We start from the raw sequence: 20,174 nt of genomic DNA on the forward strand, positions 1-20,174 counted from the left end.
TGCTTTTTACTATGCATGCTTAATATTTGTATAGTTAATTATATGTTTACCAGTTCAGTTCTTTTCAATTAATTCTTGCTTATCTTTGTAATGTACATTAATAATGGGAAAAATATCTTTGGTTATCTAAACAGACGGCTTAAACCATCATTTCTGATCACCCTTTATGGAATGACCTTTCTTCAGGGATTGCTTTTGCAATGGTACATAATCTCTGGAAGTCCGTGTTTGTCTTTGTTTCTGCGGCATAAAATAAAATGAGATTCTTCAGTGGCAATAAACTATGAAGTCATCCAACATAAAACAATTTATCTCGGCTAAAAGAATGTGGCATAGAAAGTAGATGTTTTTCCGAAGCATCATGCTGTACAATAAGTCTATCTTTCACATAGTATATATATTAAGTAAGTTGTATTTTGCAAAACATAAAATGTTCTACATTACAGATCATTATTCCTGAAAAGAACACTTGTGTCATAGAAACTCCGTGTCAAGTCAAGCGAACTTGAAATGACTCATGAATAGCAGCAGTTATTCCCCTTAGAAATATTTGTGACAAGTAATCTTCATAAACTATTTCTGATCTAAAACAAACAAATTAAAACAAACTTAAGAAATACATTATCCAGTTGGACTCATAGTGAGATAAATTGGATTTTTTAACATAAGAAAGTGATTCTTTAAGAGGAGTTAGAAGATGGGAATATTTTAGAGTAGTTTGATATTTCAGTGTTCAGAGAAATATACTACTAAGGCCGGGCACAGTGGCTCCCACCTGTAATCCCAGCACTTTGAGAGGCTGAGGCAGGTGGATTGCTTGAGCTCAGGAGTTCAAGACCAGCCTGGGCAACATAGCCAAACCTCATTGCCACAAAAAATGACAAACATTAGCCAAGCATGGTGGCACATGCCTGTGGTCCTAGCTCCTTGGGAGGCTGAGGTGGGGGATGGCTTGAGCCCAGGAGGCAGAGGTTGCAGTGGTCCAAAATTGTGCCACTGGACTCCAGCCTGTGTGACAGAGCCAGACCTTGTCTCAATTAAAACCAAACCAAAACAACAACAACTACAAAAAACAGTTAAGAAAATTATACAAGAAGCATTAAAAAGAAAGATATTTTGATGTCTACTGTTATATAACAGGGTATTTGTTTCTTTACTCAACAATAAGCAAGATTCTACCTTCATTTTAAAGGCAGGTAGGTCAGATAAATAGAGAGAGTATATTTTATAACCTACTTCTAAATACAGTCTTGGCTTATTGGCTTGTCTCAGACAAGCTGCAATAAACAACTTGTAGCTTAATTATTCTGGTAGAGATTCTAAACATAGAACACAAGTGTGAAAACTCCAAACTCCTCGCTGGGGGAATTTCCACTTTTCTACGTGGACTCAATGTTAGTTCCTGTGAGAGCTCTTCTTTGATGAAATTCAATTCATATAGGTTTGGTCTCTCTGTATTGATTTCTTTATCTGAAAAACAGCACCTAACTGAAGCCCTGGACAAATAAGAAAAATGAAAGAATTATAGACTCCTTGTCTACCTGCAGTGGCGTCATGAACCAGTCAGTGACCCTGGACTTTTCAAAGACAAAAGAAACCTCAAAGTCCTTTCTGACAATGAAACACAGTTACAAAAGTCAAGAGATTTTGTCTATGGAAGGGTCTGGTGTGCTTCTGGAAAAATACACACGCCTACTCCAAGAATATGCAATGTACGAATCTGTGCATCCCATAAACACTGAACATGTAATACGCATTTGACATTATGCTAATTGTTTGAAATAAGACATTATCTTGCCATCTAGCCTCTTACAATACAATGTGGGGAGCAACTAGGAAAGTGATTCTCATTTTAGATATTAATTATTAATCAATAGTAAGACCTATTCCCAGAGATAATAATTGCCAAGAAAAGAGTGAAGAGCCCGAGGTCTTGATGAGTACAGGGCAACTGTAAACAAGATTCATTTTGATATAAGCAAATAGTTTTTTATTAAGCTGAAGAAAAATCTTAGTGAAAGTAAAATCACAGTGTGTTCGATGGAGAAGATGGGGCAGAAGCTGTTGCCCACAGATAAAAGTGCTCAACAATCCACCCTTCTCTGAATGCCTTCCCTTCTTCATTCCATCCTCAACTTCCCTATAGATGCCTCTAGAATCATCTCTCAAATAAACTGCTGGTTTTTCAGTTCTTTCTTTGTATACACCACCTCAGATACATTTTTGTGGTGGCCCTCCGTATAAAAAGGGTTAAGTCCATTTGTCCTGAGTAACCTGGGGGCTGCCATGTTGAATTCTCTTTGTCAAGGTCATTCTTAGAACCGAGGGCATCATTAGAATTGTGTAGTGGGAGCAGCGGAGTTCTGGGAGGACCTCATTTTCTCCTCCTTGTGTCCTCATCCAGTGTCCCTGTCCCACCTGTTGACTGGTGCTCCCTCGTCCTTTGCCCTTGCCTTCACCTACCTGGCATGAGCTTTGCCTGAACAATTTGGCAATGCCCTGATCATTGTTGCCATGAGATAGCTGCAATTCGAACCTGTGCCTCATCTCTTCCCGTGCTCCTGAATCTCCTTTTCCCCTTATCTTGTGGCTATGCAATTCTGCTCTTGGTAAATGTTTGAAGGGAAAAGTATGTTGTGAGGTCTCATTGGCTTGGGACGAGCTTCACATTGTCTGAGACCTTTACCACGGCTGGAGAGGACAGAGGATACATGTTGAAAGCCATGCCTGCTGAGTGACTGCAGACAGGGCAGGTTGGCAACACAAGTCATCCAGCAGGTATGGCCACGTCTCTGAAATGACTGCTGCGTAGCAGTCTCAGTGCACTTCATGGAACTTGTATTCAAACTTTAAGCGATTTTTGTGGCGGGGCTCAGACGCTGTTCCTGACAGACAGCAGCATCGGTCAACACCTCTTCATGCCATGAGACAAGTGTTCTCATCACTTATATCAGACATTTCAGCCCAAAGACATTTACTAGAGTTTTTGAATAGAGAGATTTAGGTGAAGTGTTTCTATTTGTTTCCTATTTCTACCAACCCAGAACATAAACCATAATACTTGGCTAAAGACATTGAGTGTTTTACTGATATTAGTTCATTTTCTTAGCCTGTGCGTGACAAGTATTGCTTCTTTAAGTATGGTTTAGGCCGACTTAGAAAGAAGACTGATGCTTGCAATAATCAAAGTCTTCAGAAACTTTTAAAGCTGTGTTATCAGCAAAAGGCCAATTAACTAATTTTGAATATCTAGACAGTAAAAGTGAAGTGTCTCTGAATGGTGCCCATTGAATTCAACATAAAATATGATCAGTATTAATTAACAGTACAAAGTAAGACCACAAATATTTACATTATGCTTTCAGCAGATATCTGGTAGTTCTCACTGAGATAATTCGACAAAAATATGGATTTTCTTGTTGTTGACATGACAGGAGGGAATCTGATTAAAAAAAAAACTTTCGCAATGAAACTAAATCTAACACATTAGAAATTCTCCAATTTGACAAATTGCATTTTAATAAGAGGCATCATATGAGAAAAACATGTTGATAATTATTTCTGATCAGATGCTACCCTGTTGCTAGCAATGTGAATCCTCATTGCTACAATCATTCAGTTATCCAGGGAGACTTCAGATTGTCTGTTACATATTTTGAAGTGTATTCCAGAGTTTTGTTGTTATTGTTGTGGGGCAGGTTTGTTTTTCATTGAAATAAAGTAAATGTACCATTTGCTCCAAATTTATTACGTATTTCCAGTGTAATTATTACCTAAAGTTTTATGTAGAACAAACCCATTTAAAATCAGAAATGCATAGGATAAAATACTTTTCCCTCCTAAACACTGACAAAATAATTATAGTCCATTCAAATGGAAAATATTCACCAAGATATTTTTTTCTATTCCCATCAGTATCTGAATATTGACAAACGTTGTCTGTTTTGAAGTGGTCAGTGTTTTTACACATCAGAAGCTGGGCTCAGAATGTGCTTTTATGGAGGTATAATTGGTATACAAAAACCTGCATATATTTAATGTATGCCATTTGATGGGTCTGGACAGATGCCAACACCCGTGAAACCATCAACGCAATCCAGATGATAGACACATTGAATACCTCTGAAAGCTTCTTCTAGCGTTTTTATTTTAGACCTGTGGTTGCCTAACTTCAAAGACCTTTACAGGTAGCAACACAGTGACAAGAGGACCAGATCCAAGCTGTCACTCAGACTTTAATCCTTGCAGGTGCCTCTCTCTGCTGTCCTCCTCCCTGAGGTGGACTCTAGACTCACCTGTGCCATCCTCAGCCCCACAGTCAAGGGCTGCTACTTAAAGAATCTGTCACTCTGCAGGGGCAAAATTTCCAATCCTCCCAGGTCACATTTTGTTAAGTTTGATCATTCCTTCCATTTGTCAACTAATGAAAAAAATCAGCCTTTTAAATAATTAAAATTAGTTTTGGCTGGGTGTGGTGGCTCACACCTGTAATCCCAGCATGTGGGGAGGCTGAGGCAGGCAGATCACAAGGTCAAGAGATCGAGACCATCCTGGTCAACATGGTGAAACCCCATCTCTACTAAAAATTAAAAAATTAGCTGGGCATGGTAGTGCATGCCTATAGTCCCAGCTACTCAGGAGGCTGAACCTGGGAGGTGGAGGTTGCAGTGAGCTGAGATTGTGCTAGTGCACTCCAGCCTGGTGAAAGAGCGAGACTCCATCTGAAAAAAAAAAGAAAATTAGTCCTATTCAGAGTCCTACTGATGACTGCGATCCAGGCAAGTCTTTTAGAGAGTTTCTGTCGGATTGCTCCAAAGCAGAATTTCAGCCCGCAGCTTCTCTGCTGGCGGTGGGGGTTCTGCAGATGCTCAGGGTTTCCTTTAGAGCAAAGCTCATCAATGTTTGGGTGCAAGAGTCCATCGGTTATAGATGGCAGAGGCATAATCTCTAATCCTGGTGGATGTTGTCTTATGTACAGAAAAAGGCCAGGTCTAGGATCATTGGACTTATATCTACTTTTTTTTTTTTTTTTTTTTTTTTTTTTTTTTTTTTGAGATGGAGTTTTGCTCTTGTTGCCCAGGCTGAAGTGCAATAGCACTATCTTTGCTCACTGCAACCTTCATCTCCTGGGTTCAAGCAATTCTCTTGCCTCAGCCTCCCAACTAGTTGGGATTACAGGCATGTGCCACAACGCCCCGCTAATTTATTTTAGTTAGTAGACATGGGGTTTCACCATGTTGGTCAGGCTGGTCTCGAACTGCTGACCCCAGATGATCCACCTGCCTCGGCCTCCCAAAGTTCCAGGATTACAGGCTTAAGCCACCATGACCGGCCTGGACTTATCTTTTCTAAAAATGCATTGATTTAGGCAAAAGAGCCATGGGGACCAACGCTCTTCCCTTATTGCCCGTGGGACATTCTTCCGGAGGGCTGTGCTCAGTCACTGCGTCAGGGGTTTATGAAGTTATGCAGAAGGGCAAAATGTGCCTGGGTGGCTTCATGGCAGACGCCAACCCTGTGGCTGGTCAGAGGCAGGTGTTTGCTTTCTCTCACACATCAAAGCCGCTGTCTCCAAGAAACTTTTCCCATTTCTTTTGGACGTTGTTCTGTTTTCACTTTGCTAAATTAGAAACTATGGATTGTTTTTTGCCAGACTATTGCATATTTATAATATGAACCATTCCATAAATAAATACATATTTAACATGTGTGTGAACAGTGGCTGTGAGATACAATAATGATATTAAAATAAACATCCATGAAGCCAGAAACCAGATCACAAAACGCAACATTACCGATGCCCTTACATCCCCAGTGAGCACCATTGATCCTTATGTCTGTGCTGTTTATTCTTTAAAATACTGCTTATTCTTTTAAAATATATATGGGCCAGAATCTCCAAGTCGTCTGTAAATATTTAGAGGTCGTAAAGTTCTTCCTTATCCCCGTGTGCCTAATGAGTAACGATCACTCAAAAAATACTTGCTCGTTTGTTTGTATGACTAAACCACTTATTAGGTTTATACAGTTTCTGCTAGGATTATTTGGTTTATTCTTACCCAGAATTTCAGTTCACATTGGTGACTTTCTTCCCCATTTTATGTTCATAATTTCTTCCCAAGGGGTACCACTGGACATCTTTGCTTTAGAAACATAAACATAGCAACTTTCACCTCTCGTATTGAAAACTCTACAACACCTTCCAATCTCTCTCGTGATACAAGCGAGATTCTTGGCTGTGTCCCCAGAAGTTCTCCCCCAAGCCCTCCCTTCCTGGGTAGATCTCAGCCTCACTCTGAGACACAGAGTCTCAGACACATAATCAACTGAGAATCCTGTGAACCACAGAGATTTGTTTCTCGCAGTTCCGGAGGCTGAAAGTCCAAGATCCAGGCAGATTTGGTGTCTGGTGAGGCCCCCTTCCCGCTTCCTAGATGGCGCCTGTCACTGAATCCTCATATCCATCCGGAGGGGTGAGGGAGCTCTCTGAGGGCCCTTCGGAAGGACCCTAGTCCCATTTGTGAGGACTCCACCTTCACAACGCCATCACCTCCCAAAGCCCAGCCTCCTAATACCAACACTTCCGTGTTAGGATTTCAACAGGTATCTGAGGGCTCGAACGCGAGGCCCTTTGAACCCTGCCATGGTGGCACTCCCTGCTCCTGGCCCCTTACCACTGCTCCCAGGGTCAGAGAGCACATTCCCCCCGGCCTGGCCCTCCTGGCCCTTCTGCCCGAGATTCTCTGCTGCGGGTCTCACCCCGCTTTCCAGGCAGGTCCAGAGCTCCCTGGATAACACAGAAACCCGGCACTCTAGCCGCTGCTCTCCTACTCTCTTCTTTATTTTTACACATAGTACTTATAATCATGCAACTTTCTAATATCTACAAAATGTACCAATGTATTTGTTATCATCTGTCTCTCCCGCAAAATGAATTTTCCCGTTTTACTTATTCCTCTGTTCCCAGATCTAGAAAAGCACCTGGCACATACTAGCACAAAACAAATATTTTTTAATTAATTGGATAAACATAAAATGCTTAACGAGGCTGTGAAAAGCTGGAGCAAATCATTAAATTGAGTATGACAACCAGCGCCAGTTTACACAAGCTACTTTATGTAGTAAAATAAAATAAAATTAACATAATTAATGAAACCTTAAAACAGAGATCTAATAATTATATTAATTGGGCCCATAAAGTTGTCATAAATGCTATTTTTTTTTTGCCATGAACACACTCTACAAGGATGGTTTTCTTTTGTATGTAAGAAAATTCATAAACATTAGGCACATGTGCTTATTTTCAGACGTTTTGTGAAGAGTGGGTCATTCTTACTATGGAAGTAATTTTGATGTTGAGTGAATCATGTATATGAAAGAAACAAGGAATTCTCTCTCTCTCTTTTTTTTTTTTTTTTTTTGTTTTGAGACGGAATCTTGCCCTGTCACCCGGGCTGGAGTGCAATGGCATGATCTTGGCTCACTGCAAACTCCGCCTCCCGGGTTCCAGCAATTCTCCTGCCTCAGCCTCTTGTGTAGCTGGGATTACAGGCGCCCGCCACCAGGCCCAGCTAGTTTTTTTGTATTTTTAGTAGAGACGGGGTTTCACCGTGTTAGCCAGGATGGTCTCAAACTCCTGACCTCGTGAACCACCCGCCTCGGCCTCCCAAAGTGCTGGGATTACAGGCGTGAGCCACCACGCCCTGCCGGAATTCTCAAATAGTAAGCCTCAGCCTGTTTAATGATCTCTCCGACATTATTTAATAAATCAAGAACAGGTGCTGAGTGCCACATTCAACACTCTATGAGACTGAAGCATAAAAGAGATGGTTTCCTATTGGGAGTGTTGGGTGAAGGGGGAGATAAAGAAAAGACAGCGTGTGCGCTGCCCACTCAGAGCAGCGTGATCGTGTACAATAATGACTTAGCAAGCAGGCCAGGCGCGGCAGCTCACACTCGTAATCCCAGCACTTTGGGAGGCAGAGGCAGGGGGATTGGTTGAGGGAAGGAGCTCAAGACCAGCCTGAGAAATATAAATGAGACCTCTTCTCTACAAAAAAAATTAGCAAAACATATTTAGCAAACAAATGACCATGGGCTGAAGCCAATGGGGACGTGTTCTCTATGGAGCTGGGATAGGAGCTGTGCCTCAAGGAGGAGGCCAGCTCATAAAACAGCAAGACCCCAGCACTGGCATAGAGACCAACAGCCCCTTTTTCAGGAGAGAAAAGGTGGTCTGCAGAGGGAGAGGGCCCTGGAGCAGAGGCTTCTCTGTGATGCTGTGGGAAAGTTGTCTATTTCCAAAGGAAGGGAAGGGTGATTGAGGGACATGCTTTGTAGGATTCAACTAATTATGTAACTAAACAATGTCTCATTATTTTTCAGATAAGTAATGTGTATATATTATTCCACTTCAACCAGTGAGGCCACAACATGATTTACATGACTATTTCTCAACCATTATATTTAGATAGAGAGATAGATACATATGTAAATAGAGCTAGAGAGATGATAGGTGATAGATTACATAGAGTTAGATCAGTAGATACATAGAATAGCTGCACAGATAAAATATAAAAATTATCATGATTTAACGGTAAGAATGTAGTTGAAAGTGTGGCATTGCTACAGGTTCTTTTTCTAAATTTTGTTACAATTGAGGAAAGAGAGAGATGGTGGGCAAAGGTCAATTAAAAAAAGGATTAAAAATAACTTTAGAAAAAAAATCAACATGCAATTGCATAGAAGGAAAAAGACTAGAATTTGAGTCAGTTTTAAAGAGAATTCTATTGCCAAACCTAACAAGCCTGGTGCAAATCCCCTCACTTTTCGTAGCCAAGGGTGCAGGGAGAAGCCACCTGCAAAGACCCTTGCAGCCCGTAACAAAGGCTTCCTCCCCAACACCCAGTAGTTAGGTGGCTTTAAAAGAAAACAGGCACAGAAATAACCTCCAAGGAAGCAGAGTCATGTTCCATGAAGCACACTGGAGAGGGACAAAAAATTAGCCGGGCGTGGTGGCGGGCACCTGTAGTCCCAGCTACTCCTGAGGCTGAGGCAGGAGAATGGCGTGAACCTGGGAGGCGGAGCTTGCAGCGAGCTGAGATCGCGCCACTGCATCATTCCAGCCTGGACGATGGAGAGAGGCTCCGTCTCAAAAAAAAAAAAAAAAAAAAAAAAGAAAGAAAAGAAGAAAGAAAAGTCAGAGAACCTTCTCCCGTGACCATCGCCAGGGCGGAGAATCTTCACCAAGCCTGCTCAGCAATATCTGATTATCGTTGTGGAGCACAGACTGTTGCGTGCTTCCAATCCCCACCCTCTTTCTGAAACACAGTTAACGGTGTCCACTTTTCACGACCCATCAATGTGCGCTGGGCACTTGGTGGACAGGCATCTTGCCCAGCAATGTGTGTTTGTAGCAGACCACAGGCATCCAAGCATGACCCAGAGGACGCAGCCACCCCCAGGGATCTTAGATCTTGGGGTGATGATGTGAGAGGATGGAGTTTAATGTAGTCGCCCTCGAGAGGGAATGAATGTGCTCCACGTGTGAAAATGAAGCTACACACAGTTTATAAGGAGTGTTTCACAGATGGCTGCTTATTCCTTAGGTTTTTCTCCACTTGAACCCTCATGATGGAATTCCAGATGTCCTTGCAGTTCACCGTGGCCACGCGCCTACGTCATAGCCAAGGGGAACTGAGTGGCGCTCCCTCCAGAGGTTGTCTTTCCACGTGGGGCGTGGGCTCTTCTGGGCATTTTGGTTTCCTCCCTTTCCCACATGCAGGAATTTAGATGGCAGCCGCGCAGCCGTGACCGTGAAGACAGGAACAAGAAGCAGGGGCTGACAGAGCACCACGGTGGAACGAAGCTGTGTTACATCAAACTGGACTTCACAGAATTAACCCCTGGGAAAATGCAAATGACTTGCTGGAAACACACTGGATACTAACCCTAATACTTCCTTTCTCTTGCTCTTCTGTTAGCAGACCTAATCTCTAAACACAGTTAGTATAATGCTTGCTTCCCTGGCAGCTCTAACAATTCCTACCCTGTTGACATCCCAGTAGCTTTGATGGGAACCGCTAATGCCCGTGTGGACCTCCTCTGGAGACGGGCAATTGCAGTTTTCTAAAATGCATTGAAATAGGATTGAAACTCGAGTATTTAATAGAAATTTCTCACATTCCCATTTCCCTTCACTAGCATGAAAATGACCTCCAAATAAATGATTTTATTTATTTTATCTCAGAGCTCTCCTTGCATTGCACCTTTATTTCATAGAAAATTGATCTGGTCCTTGAAAAGGTCAGCCAATCCTTGGGAGAAATTTTGTGATTTATTATTGATGTATACAGGAGTGGACCGAGGTGATGCTTGGCACACAGCACTGGTGATGGTGCTGACTGGACCTTACGAGCTTGGATTTTCATTTTCTTCTCCATTCTCCTTATGCTTAGGAGTACTCCTGTGTTACTTGTGCTATGCATTGCCCCACATATTCCTTTACAGTGGAAAGCTGTAGTTTTTGTTTTGCTTTAATAATACTCAACATAATAAAATATTTATATAGTGAATCTAAGGCTATTCTTACTATAAAGAAATTGCAGCCCTTAAATATTTGAACTACTTTTTTCAGTGTTCACATTTCCCGTTAAGAAAAAAAAACTAATTTTTTACATGCATCATCATTAATTAGTGTAGTTTAATTAGTGTTTAGCTAAAAAGTAAACAGGGACCTAAATTAAGTTTGTTAGACAGTGCTAGAATTTACTGGGCTCCAGTAAATTTCACCTGGGTTTCAGGCAGGAAGAAAGTAAGGATGTGTTTGGAAAAACTATTTTTTAATAAAGACTTATCTGGCTCTTTTATAATACTACATTTAATAAAGATTTGTCTGACTCTTTTATAATACTGTGCAAATCAAAACATCAGTAAGGAGTAAAATCCCTAAAAGCTGGTTGTTTAATGATGAAATTTGGCCAACGATTAAGCTTAATCATTTTTAAAATAACTAAATTCCATGAATAATATTTCCATGATTCTACATTGGGATGCTCCCAAATTACCTTAAAGGTTGTTGACATTAAAAACTCACCCTGTAGATATATGGGCTAAGTACTGAGAGTTACTGTATTTTATTATTGTTGTTGTTATTATTATTATTTTGAGACAGAGTCTGACTCCGTCACCCAGGCTGGAGTGCAGTGGCACAATCTTGGCTCACTGCAACCTCAGCCTCCTAGGTTCAAGCGATTCTCCTGCCTCAGCCTCCCAAGTAGCTGGGAAGACAGGCACACATGCACCAGCTAATTTTTGTATTTTTAATAGAGACGGGGTTTCACCATGTTGGCCAGGCTGGTCTAGACCTCCCGGCCTCAAGTGAACCACCAGCCTCAGCCTCCCAAAGTGCTAGGATTACAGGCGTGAGCCACCGTGCCAGGTTATGTTATAATTAATATTATCATTATTATTTTTCTTTAGTTATTGTTTGGTCTCAATGGCTTCCCAATCACCCACGTAATTTGCTCTGTACTAAGAGATACCTTTAATCACAGTTAGTACTACATAGCATTTAGTAATTCATTATTTCTTTTAAAAATTATTTATTATTTTTAGAGAAGGGGGTCTCATTATGTTGCCCAGGTTGGAGTGCAGTGGCTATTCACAAGCAGGATCATAGATCACCACAGCCTTCAACTCCTGGACTGAAGAGGTCCTCCCTTCTCAGCCTCCAGAGCAGCTGGGACTACACGTGTGCACCCCAGAGCCCGGCTGTAATTTATTCTTTCTGTACTCACACCTGGGACTGCGGACAACGTAATGATTGCCTATTCTGGTTGATTTTCTGCTTTAAGCAGAGATGGAAAGTGTTTGAGGTCAGTTTCAAATACCTTTAGGCTGTAAATTCCTAGGTTATCAAATTCTGTGTCATTGAAGGCATAGGAGCAAGACCAGATTGACTTTGTTGCATGAAGTCTACAAATAAATACTTGAGATTACCTGGGAGAAAAGGGACAGTTACGGAGGAACAGGGGCAGTGATAATGGGCACCGTCTGTGGGGTTTTCCCGAAGGGTAAACGCAGAGCCCTGGGAGAAAAGGAGGCTGGCTGTACAGTAGCTGGCACCACTAAGAGTTGGGTTGTGGTGTGGGATTACCCTGCTCAGGATTTGACAGATTACAGATATTCTTCCAAATAAAAGAGGCTTTCTAAAAAAAAAAAGTGGATCCTACGAACACTCATTTATACTCTCAATCAAAACAATTCACTTGGGAATTGGCCAGGCACGGTGGCTCATGCCCGTAATCCCAGCACTTTGGGAGGCTGAGGCAGGCAGATCACCTGAGGTAGGGAGTTCGAGACCAGCCTGACCAACATAGGGAAACCCCGTCTCTACTAAAAACATACAAAAAATTAGACAGGCGTGGTGACGAGTTCCTGTAATCCCAGCTACTTGGGAGGCAGAGGCAGGAGAATTGCTTGAACCCTGGAAGCGGAGGTTGTGGTGAGCCGAGATCATGCCATTGTACTCCAGCCTGGGCAACAAGAGTAAAACTCTGTCTCAAAAAAAAAAAAGAAAAGAAAAGAAAAAATATTGGGAATTATGCTCCTTACCAAAAGTCTCACTCAGTTCTCTTCCTGTGATTTTCACAGAGTGGTTTTGCCTAATGATAGCAAGTAATTCACTCTAATCCTCCCAAGAAAAGATGCAGAGGCTGAGAAGGAGTGAGGAACAGGACAAATTGCCCAAGACTAGATTGAAGGGAATTATATCCCTAAATCTTCTGTGTTTCTCTTACCATTGACACTGCTGCCTCTTACTTGGAAAATGTTCACAGTAGGGACATTTTTTGAAAACCCAACATCAAGACTCATCTGGCCCAGGTTGTCTCTCTTCAGTCCCAAGTTCCTAAATCCCTTAATTATGTTTCCATTTTCTCCACTCTGGAATACGATTTTAATAGTGCACTTTTCTCTATAAGATAGCTGATTCTTATCAAGGAAAAGACATTTAGGAAAAAAACAAAATAAAATTACAGCTGACTAGTGTATTAGTTTGCTAGGGCTCTTGTGGAAGTCGCTAAACTGAGTGTCTTAAATCACAGAACTGTATTCTCTTACAGTCCTGGAGACTGAAAGATCAAGGTGTCAACAGAGTAGGCTGTGAGGAAGAATGCAGGTTTTTCTCCGAACTACTGGGATTTTTGGTGATCTTTGGCGTCCCTGGGCTTGTAAATGGCCAACCTCTGCCTTCTTCTTCAGGTGCCATTCTCTCTGTATACACATGTCTCTCCAAACTTTCTTTTTCAAAATGACAGCAGTCGTCAGGGGCCCACCCTGCTCCAATATGACCTCATCTTAACTAATTATATTGGAAACAACTCTATTTCCAAGTGAGGTCATATTCTGGAGTACTAGAGATTAGGATTTCAGCATCTGAATTGTGTGGTGGGGACACAGTTCAATTCATAACAACCATATACATTAAAATCATTAAATTACTCTGTCTCCTTGTTTTTAGTATGTCATTAAATAGTATGAGAAATATTTCACTTACCTAAAATGAATACTCCTTCTTTTTTCTAAGAAAATAGTTTATCTTCTTTGAGTGAAAAGAAATTCCCCTTATTTCTCAAAAGCAACTTCCTGTGGAAGATCAAGAACTCTTTCCTTCCTTTGTATTTAGAAATGTATTTTTAATTTAATGTATTTCCTAAGGATTTGAAAAATGTAATGTTTGTTTTTTACAGCAAGATGAAAAATACACCCCTGACAGCATCCACCAGATTTCACCTTGAGGCTATGTGGGCTTCAACAACTTTACAACTCAGAGATTGTTTCTGTACTACATTCAGGGTAAAACCCAGAAGACTATTCACATGTAACAAAAGCACATCCACTGAATATCTTGGGCTCCCGAAACTATTGCATTATTAAGAGTGACTTTTAATAACTTGTACATGTTCACTTTCCAGCTCCATTCTGAAAATAAAGGCACTAAATGTGGGTATTAAGTTAGAGAAATAGAAATAATTCAATGGCTTACTTCACATAGCCACAATCCACCGCAGGCATGTAGAAGCAGCGTGACAATTTCTTTGTATCCATGTGAAAGGAAGCAAGTGTAATTCCCATTCTCTCCATGATCTCTTTTCCAAACCACCTAAAGTGGACACCTCTCTCCTCTACAAATCAAATGTTTCATGCTTTTATCTGTATTCAACTATTCACATCTTTATTTTCTATCTAGATCTTGATTCTATGTTAAAAACAGTGTTTTATGTTTTTGGCCAAGTATTATTTTAAAATTCATAAAAAGCTTTTAATGATATGAATGAATACATAGTGCTAAAAGAGGAAATAAAAAATATATTGTTATTCGGGTTATATAGTTAAATATCCCACTTAAGGAAACTGATTAGAGGAAGTCTGGGATGGTTTTTCTCAAGCATCTGATATGAAATCATTAACAGTGGCTGCCTCTGGACTGTGGTATCATACAAATATTTTATTTGATTCTTTAAATCTTTAATATTTTGCAAATCTTATGCCACATAATATTTTATACATAGATTAGTTTATAAACACTTGAAACACTGCTTTGAAAGATAAAATAGAAAAACAAGGGAAAGAAGAGAGGATGGGCCAGCCAGCTCAGCAAGCATCCTCTTCATTTATGCCGAGTGCCTCCTCTGTGCTCAACAAGAGATGCACAGGTGAGGCCCTGAGAACCAGGACTCTGGTTGCAAGAGGCAGACAAGCCAAGTACAAATCCCATTTCCCACAGACAGTTCTGGCATCTTCCACATCTCACGGTGCTCTGCAAGGTGACCTTGGTCCTCCTCCAGTCAAGGGGTGGGGGCTGCATCTCCTTCCCTGAATCTGGGAGGGAGGCTTGTGAATCTCCTGAAATGAGTAAAGTGTGGACTGCATGACTGTTGACATTATTTTTGAGAAGGTGACACACCTGCTACCTGTTCTCAGGAGTCGTAGCACCCAGGCCCTGAGAGCATTGCAGTGTGAGGGAGCAGGGCTGAGTGTAAAGGCTGAAAAGTGTTCCTTCCATGCCTCCAGCCCAAGTGCCAGACATAGGCATGCACCAGCCTGTGGATGAGGCCAGCTCCAGCCTTGGGGTCTTCCCACTGCAAACCCTAGACATTGTGGGCAGAAAGAAGCCACTCCGCTGGGCCCTTTTGAAATTCCTGACCCCCATGGTCCCTGGCATAACCAAAAGGTTGCTGCTTCATGCCACTAATTTTGGGGAGGTATGTTACACAGAAATAGTACCGAGAACACATAACTCAAACTGAATTAGGAAAAGCAAATCCATTCGCTGCAGTAGCTTGTCAATGACAGATTTTAACTCTGATGCGCTGTGTCCCTAACCAAGCTCTTGGATTTCCCTCCCCATTTGGTCTTCCGCAGGGTTAACTGTTTTATTGAGTCGTTTCCATGCAGACCAGATCCTGGCTATCAGCCGCAAAAAGTCATCCTCCTTTGCGCCCATCACAATACCTGATTCATTACCAGTGACTTTCCATTGATTCTTCTAAATTTGTAATGCATTCTTTTCTCTCCATTTTCACAACCTAATCAGCAAACTACTAAGCACGTCTGTCTCTGCAGGATGACAGCATAACCCTGGGACTAAGTTTCCAGGTCACTCTTGCTCTGCTCTATGTCGGCCAATTCTCTTTACAAAATGAAAATCTTATGTTACTTTTCCTTTCTTTTATCCTTCGTTCACTCTGACTGATCACAAAATTAATACTAAAATGTTTAAGATGTCCTTCGACGCCGAAGTCTACTCCATCCCTTCCTAGTCTCATGAGGATCTGCTACTCTTTGCCCTCATTACACAACTTTTCCTGGTTTCCTGAACGAGTTCTGCTGCTTCCCATCCCAGAATGATGTGCATGCTGTTTCCTGGAGAATGTCTTGGATTGATCTCCCACCCCTTTCTCATAATATATAATACACTTTTGTCCTAGTTAGAACTTGTCTTTCAAGTGTCAGGTTCTCTCACTTGCTTTGATACAACTTCCCTGAAGCCATTTCTTCAGTTTAAATGAGAACAAAGTAATATTTTATTCATGGAAGGAAACATTCAATGAAACATGACAAATATACCTTCCTTGACAAAAGAAGACTTTTCTTATGAAAAAGCAAACATGCATTGACATGTACGATGAACGCATAAAGAAATGTAGTCATTTTGAAGTCAACGAGATAATAAGCAGCAAAGATTTTAACTGACTTGCATGAGAAAGTGTGCCTGGCATGAATACTTAATATCCCATGAGGACTAAGTCCCTTTTCCTTGCATCAAATAAGTGCTGCTCTTAGAAGTCACCGAGAAGAGACTTCTAAAGTTGGAGAAGGAACATGTGCTAATTTCCCACATGCTTTAAATGACGAGGCTGCGCCTCGTGGAGGCTGTCCTGCTGCTCTCTGAGCTTTCACACAGGCTACCTTGCTCTTCTTCACAAACAGCCAACGTGTTTCAGATATGCGGAACGGAAGACAAACAGCTCCAGCAATGCATAAAAAGTTCCTTGGAGCTAATTCGTGGCAGATCGAGGAGAGGGCCCCGTGCATTTATCTGACATCCTCTATCCTATCATACCTGACACTTAACTTCAGATTCCATGAGCTTTCCTGTGCAAAATGACCTTCTATGTGCGGTACCCTGGGCTGACATTTTTATATACATTTTGCCATTGAACTATCACTGAACTCTGAGAGATAGGTGGCATGAATTGATGTGTGAAGGGAGGTCCACAGTAATTTAGTAAATATTTACCAAATTCCTCCTACGTCTTAGAGGAAGTACAGAAGATACAATGGTAAAAGTGATTGCTCCACTGAGTTTCAAATTTTCAAGCAAGAGCAATTAAACTATCTATTAAAATAAGTGCATGAAGTGCTTTAATACATGGATCTTGAGTATAAATTGTTGAATATGGCTTAGTAGGGTTCTGATATAAATTTCTATATCAAAGAAAATGCAGAAGTAGTAATAGCCTTATCTAATAATTTTTTCTTTCTTTCTGAGGTGGACTTTCACTCTGTTGCCCAGGCTGGAGTGCCGTGGTACAATTCCACCTCACTGCAACCACCATCTCCCAGGTTCAAGCTATTCTTGTGCCTCAGCCTCCCGAGTAGCTGGGATTACAGTCATGCACCACCACGCTCAGCTAATTTTTGTATTTTTGGTAGAGATAGGGTTTCACCATGTTGGCCAGGCTGGTCTCGAACTCCTGACCTCAAGTGATTCACCCACCTTGGCCTCTCAAAGTGCTGGGATTACACATGTGAGCCACCATGCCTGGCCCTAATAATGTAATTTCAATTTTGGTTCTGCCTAGGTTTTTTTTTTTCTGGTCCTGAGTTCTTGTTCTGAGTGGGTCATTTATCTCTCGTTCTGCAAAGGCCTGTACTAAAATAGGCACGTCCTTGAACTGGGGCTCTTATGACTACATGCGGAATTGTTTCTATCAGTCATGAGAAGCAGGCACATTTCTCATTTCTCATTTCTCATACGAAAAAGGCTTTGCTTACTTGAATAAACACACCAAAAAAAAAAAAATGTTGACTGCTTGGTTTATGTGTCACTCCAAAGGAGAAAGGAAAGAAAAGAAAGATGAGCATCACGTCCTAGTTTTGCTGTGTTTTTCACATCTGTTTGAGCCCAGAGTGTCTTTTTTAGCTAGGTAATATTTCTGCTCAGCTGAGATGAGGGAAGCAGCAATAACCCTGAGGAACGAAGCATACACCTCGCATGCAACCACAGCCTCCCGACTGTGTATGGTCACCTTACCCGATAGTAGCAGAAACATTGAGTTCTATGATATTATGTAATTTGCCTTGAGGAAGTTCATTATATTTTCACAGAATGAAAGACCATCTTTATTACATCCCTAGCACTGTACGGATTTTTTAACCCAGTTTACACAGTATCTATTACCCTTGATTGCTTCCCTTTTTGGTTGTCCACAGAAATGTAAAGATGTGAGCCTGGGATTTTTGAGAACCCAAACACATTTAATCTCTTTGCTTATAGGAAGGGAACAGAAGTTTATGTTGGACATGATTTTAACCTTATCTGCAGTTCTCCTAGGACATTACCAGTCCCCTCTTAATTAGCCTGAGCACTCTGTAATTAGTCATTCCTCTGATTTAGCAAACACGGATGGAAAAAGAGTTCCATAGATGTACTAATTTGTTTCATTAAACCATTTAACTGATCAACCTGTTTATTAATGTTTATCTTCATTTTTCTGTAAAAGGCTTTTTGCTAAGTGCTGGGGGAGATCAAAGGGAAACAAACAACTTCTCCCTCCTCAATTACAGTACAATTTTCTCAGTAGTAATGATATTTATTTTATATTTCTCATTTCCGATATATACACTTTTTTCTTATAATTTAGTTTTAAAAAGTGAATGAATGAACAGAACAAGACTCTAAATAAATAAATAAATAAACACAGAGAGAAAATGAATCAAAAGTGAAACGACACCTGAAAATGAATGTTGAGTCCTTACTAACATGGATATCAACATTGCTTAGCTATGTACGGGTAAAGAGCAATGTTGTACAATTGTCACAAGCCGTCAGTCTTTTCTGTGTGATAGTACTCAGATGAAGAGATGTATGTGGATCTCGTGATGAAGACTGGATGAGCCCATATCCTTCTCAGAGACGTTGGGTGTACGTTTGCAGATACGCCTACCACTATTTTAAAAATGCAACTGACGGACACAGTAAGATTAATAAGATTACGTACGCTAACTGTTTGTTACCAAGATGCATCTCTATGTCATAATGAAAACTGAACTTTAAGAAGAAAGACCTGCTTTTGGATGAAGGATATTAGAGTGAATGCAGGGAAGGCTCATTTGACGTGTTTTGTACCCAAGACACCTCTAGCTGTCAGCACATCCGGCAGTTTTCTGGCTCTTTAAAATTCAATAGACTTTCCTTTCTTGTAAAAAAAAAAAAAAGTTTATGGAAACAGTCCCCATCGCAATCACAAGCGGGTTTGTTTTCTGCACATAATACATTTACATGCACGGGCTCTGTTGCATGACAACAATATTGTGTAAGTCTTTCCTCCTTAAACCTTCCACCTTGCCAACTGCAACAGAGAAAGAAGACAGGTCCGGAAGTGGGGACAAACCAGCCGTGGGAGAGACGGAACTTCTTACTCAGTGGAGTAGTTATGTGTGGATGACCAAGTCCTTATGCTCATTTCATCCCCCATAAATGTATTTTTTTAAATCCCATATTACTGCTTGGACACTGTGTTTGACATAATTTTGAAAATCTTGGGTGCTGATCACTATTCATTACTATTTTGACCACCACCATCTACTGCTTTAAAATAAATTTCGTTTCTAACTTTGGTCCAGGGTTCAAAAGAAAACATAAATAAATAAATAAATATAAATCTGTTTCTGAAACAAGCGTCAGATTTTTCAGGATTTTCTAAAACATGAATTTTAACACAATTAGTATATATTATACACGTAGTTTGACATAAAATTAGATCACTGCTATATCCACTTAATGAATTAACAATGACAGACAAACGGGCAAAATGCTTTTTCTTACTCATTCCTCTCTGTTACATGCATATATCCTCTATTTTTGCTTAGACACTCTCAACATAATTATTACTCACTGATAATAACAGCCCTTGGTACCCAAAAGATTAAAATCACATCCCTCTACATTTCAACTGTAAGCCTAATTCAGTCTCTCCAGCCATTTCGAACCCAAGAGTCGGTTTTAAATGCGGTCTTGAAAGCACCGTGGAAACCTGGAGCCCTGTGGAGAACAAGGAAGGGAAAGTTTTTGATGCCAACTTGACCATCCCTCTGTCCCTGGCCATTGCCATGAATATTCTTTAGAACACGGTTAGAAAAGGGACTGGTCGGGGGTGGAGGAGGTGAAAGAAACTCTTAACTGAATTTAGTAGGCATTCATCCAAGGAGACAAAGGAAAAAAGTGACAGGGAATCCTCAGCCTGTGAAAGCAATGAGGAATGAATTGTCACAACCAAAGGCCTCTCGGGCACCCATTTGTTGTTACATATATGTGGCTGAAACATATGCTTAACGTATAAGTTGAGAATTTTCCTAAAATTATCTATCATGCAGCTTCTATGGTG

At 40.9% G+C, this 20,174-nt stretch overlaps 1 long non-coding RNA gene across 2 annotated transcripts in view, besides 1 other annotated feature; it reads right to left on the minus strand.

The window, feature by feature from the left end:
- The window catches only part of LINC03021 (long intergenic non-protein coding RNA 3021), a 198,360-nt gene that overhangs the window by 151,972 nt on the left and 26,214 nt on the right, over positions 1–20,174 (minus strand). The window contains exon 3 of one of the 2 annotated variants that reach the window (NR_125426.1): positions 14,490–14,907. The exons of the other annotated variant lie outside the window; for it this stretch is intronic. This is a non-coding gene — a long non-coding RNA (long intergenic non-protein coding RNA 3021). Of the gene's footprint in view, positions 1–14,489; positions 14,908–20,174 lie in introns of those variants that run through there. 2 annotated transcript variants of the gene reach the window in all.
- Positions 7,437–7,937: an enhancer, noted in NCBI's record as "NANOG-H3K4me1 hESC enhancer chr8:2547000-2547500 (GRCh37/hg19 assembly coordinates)". NCBI's record gives its function as "activates a minimal SCP1, AML or CMV promoter by ChIP-STARR-seq in primed H9 embryonic stem cells {active_cell/tissue: H9 hESC(primed)}" and the evidence as "EXISTENCE:reporter gene assay evidence [ECO:0000049][PMID:30033119]".

The sequence above is a fragment of the Homo sapiens genome, chromosome 8, assembly GCF_000001405.40.
Source record: "Homo sapiens chromosome 8, GRCh38.p14 Primary Assembly".
NCBI classification, from domain to species: domain Eukaryota; kingdom Metazoa; phylum Chordata; class Mammalia; order Primates; family Hominidae; genus Homo; species Homo sapiens.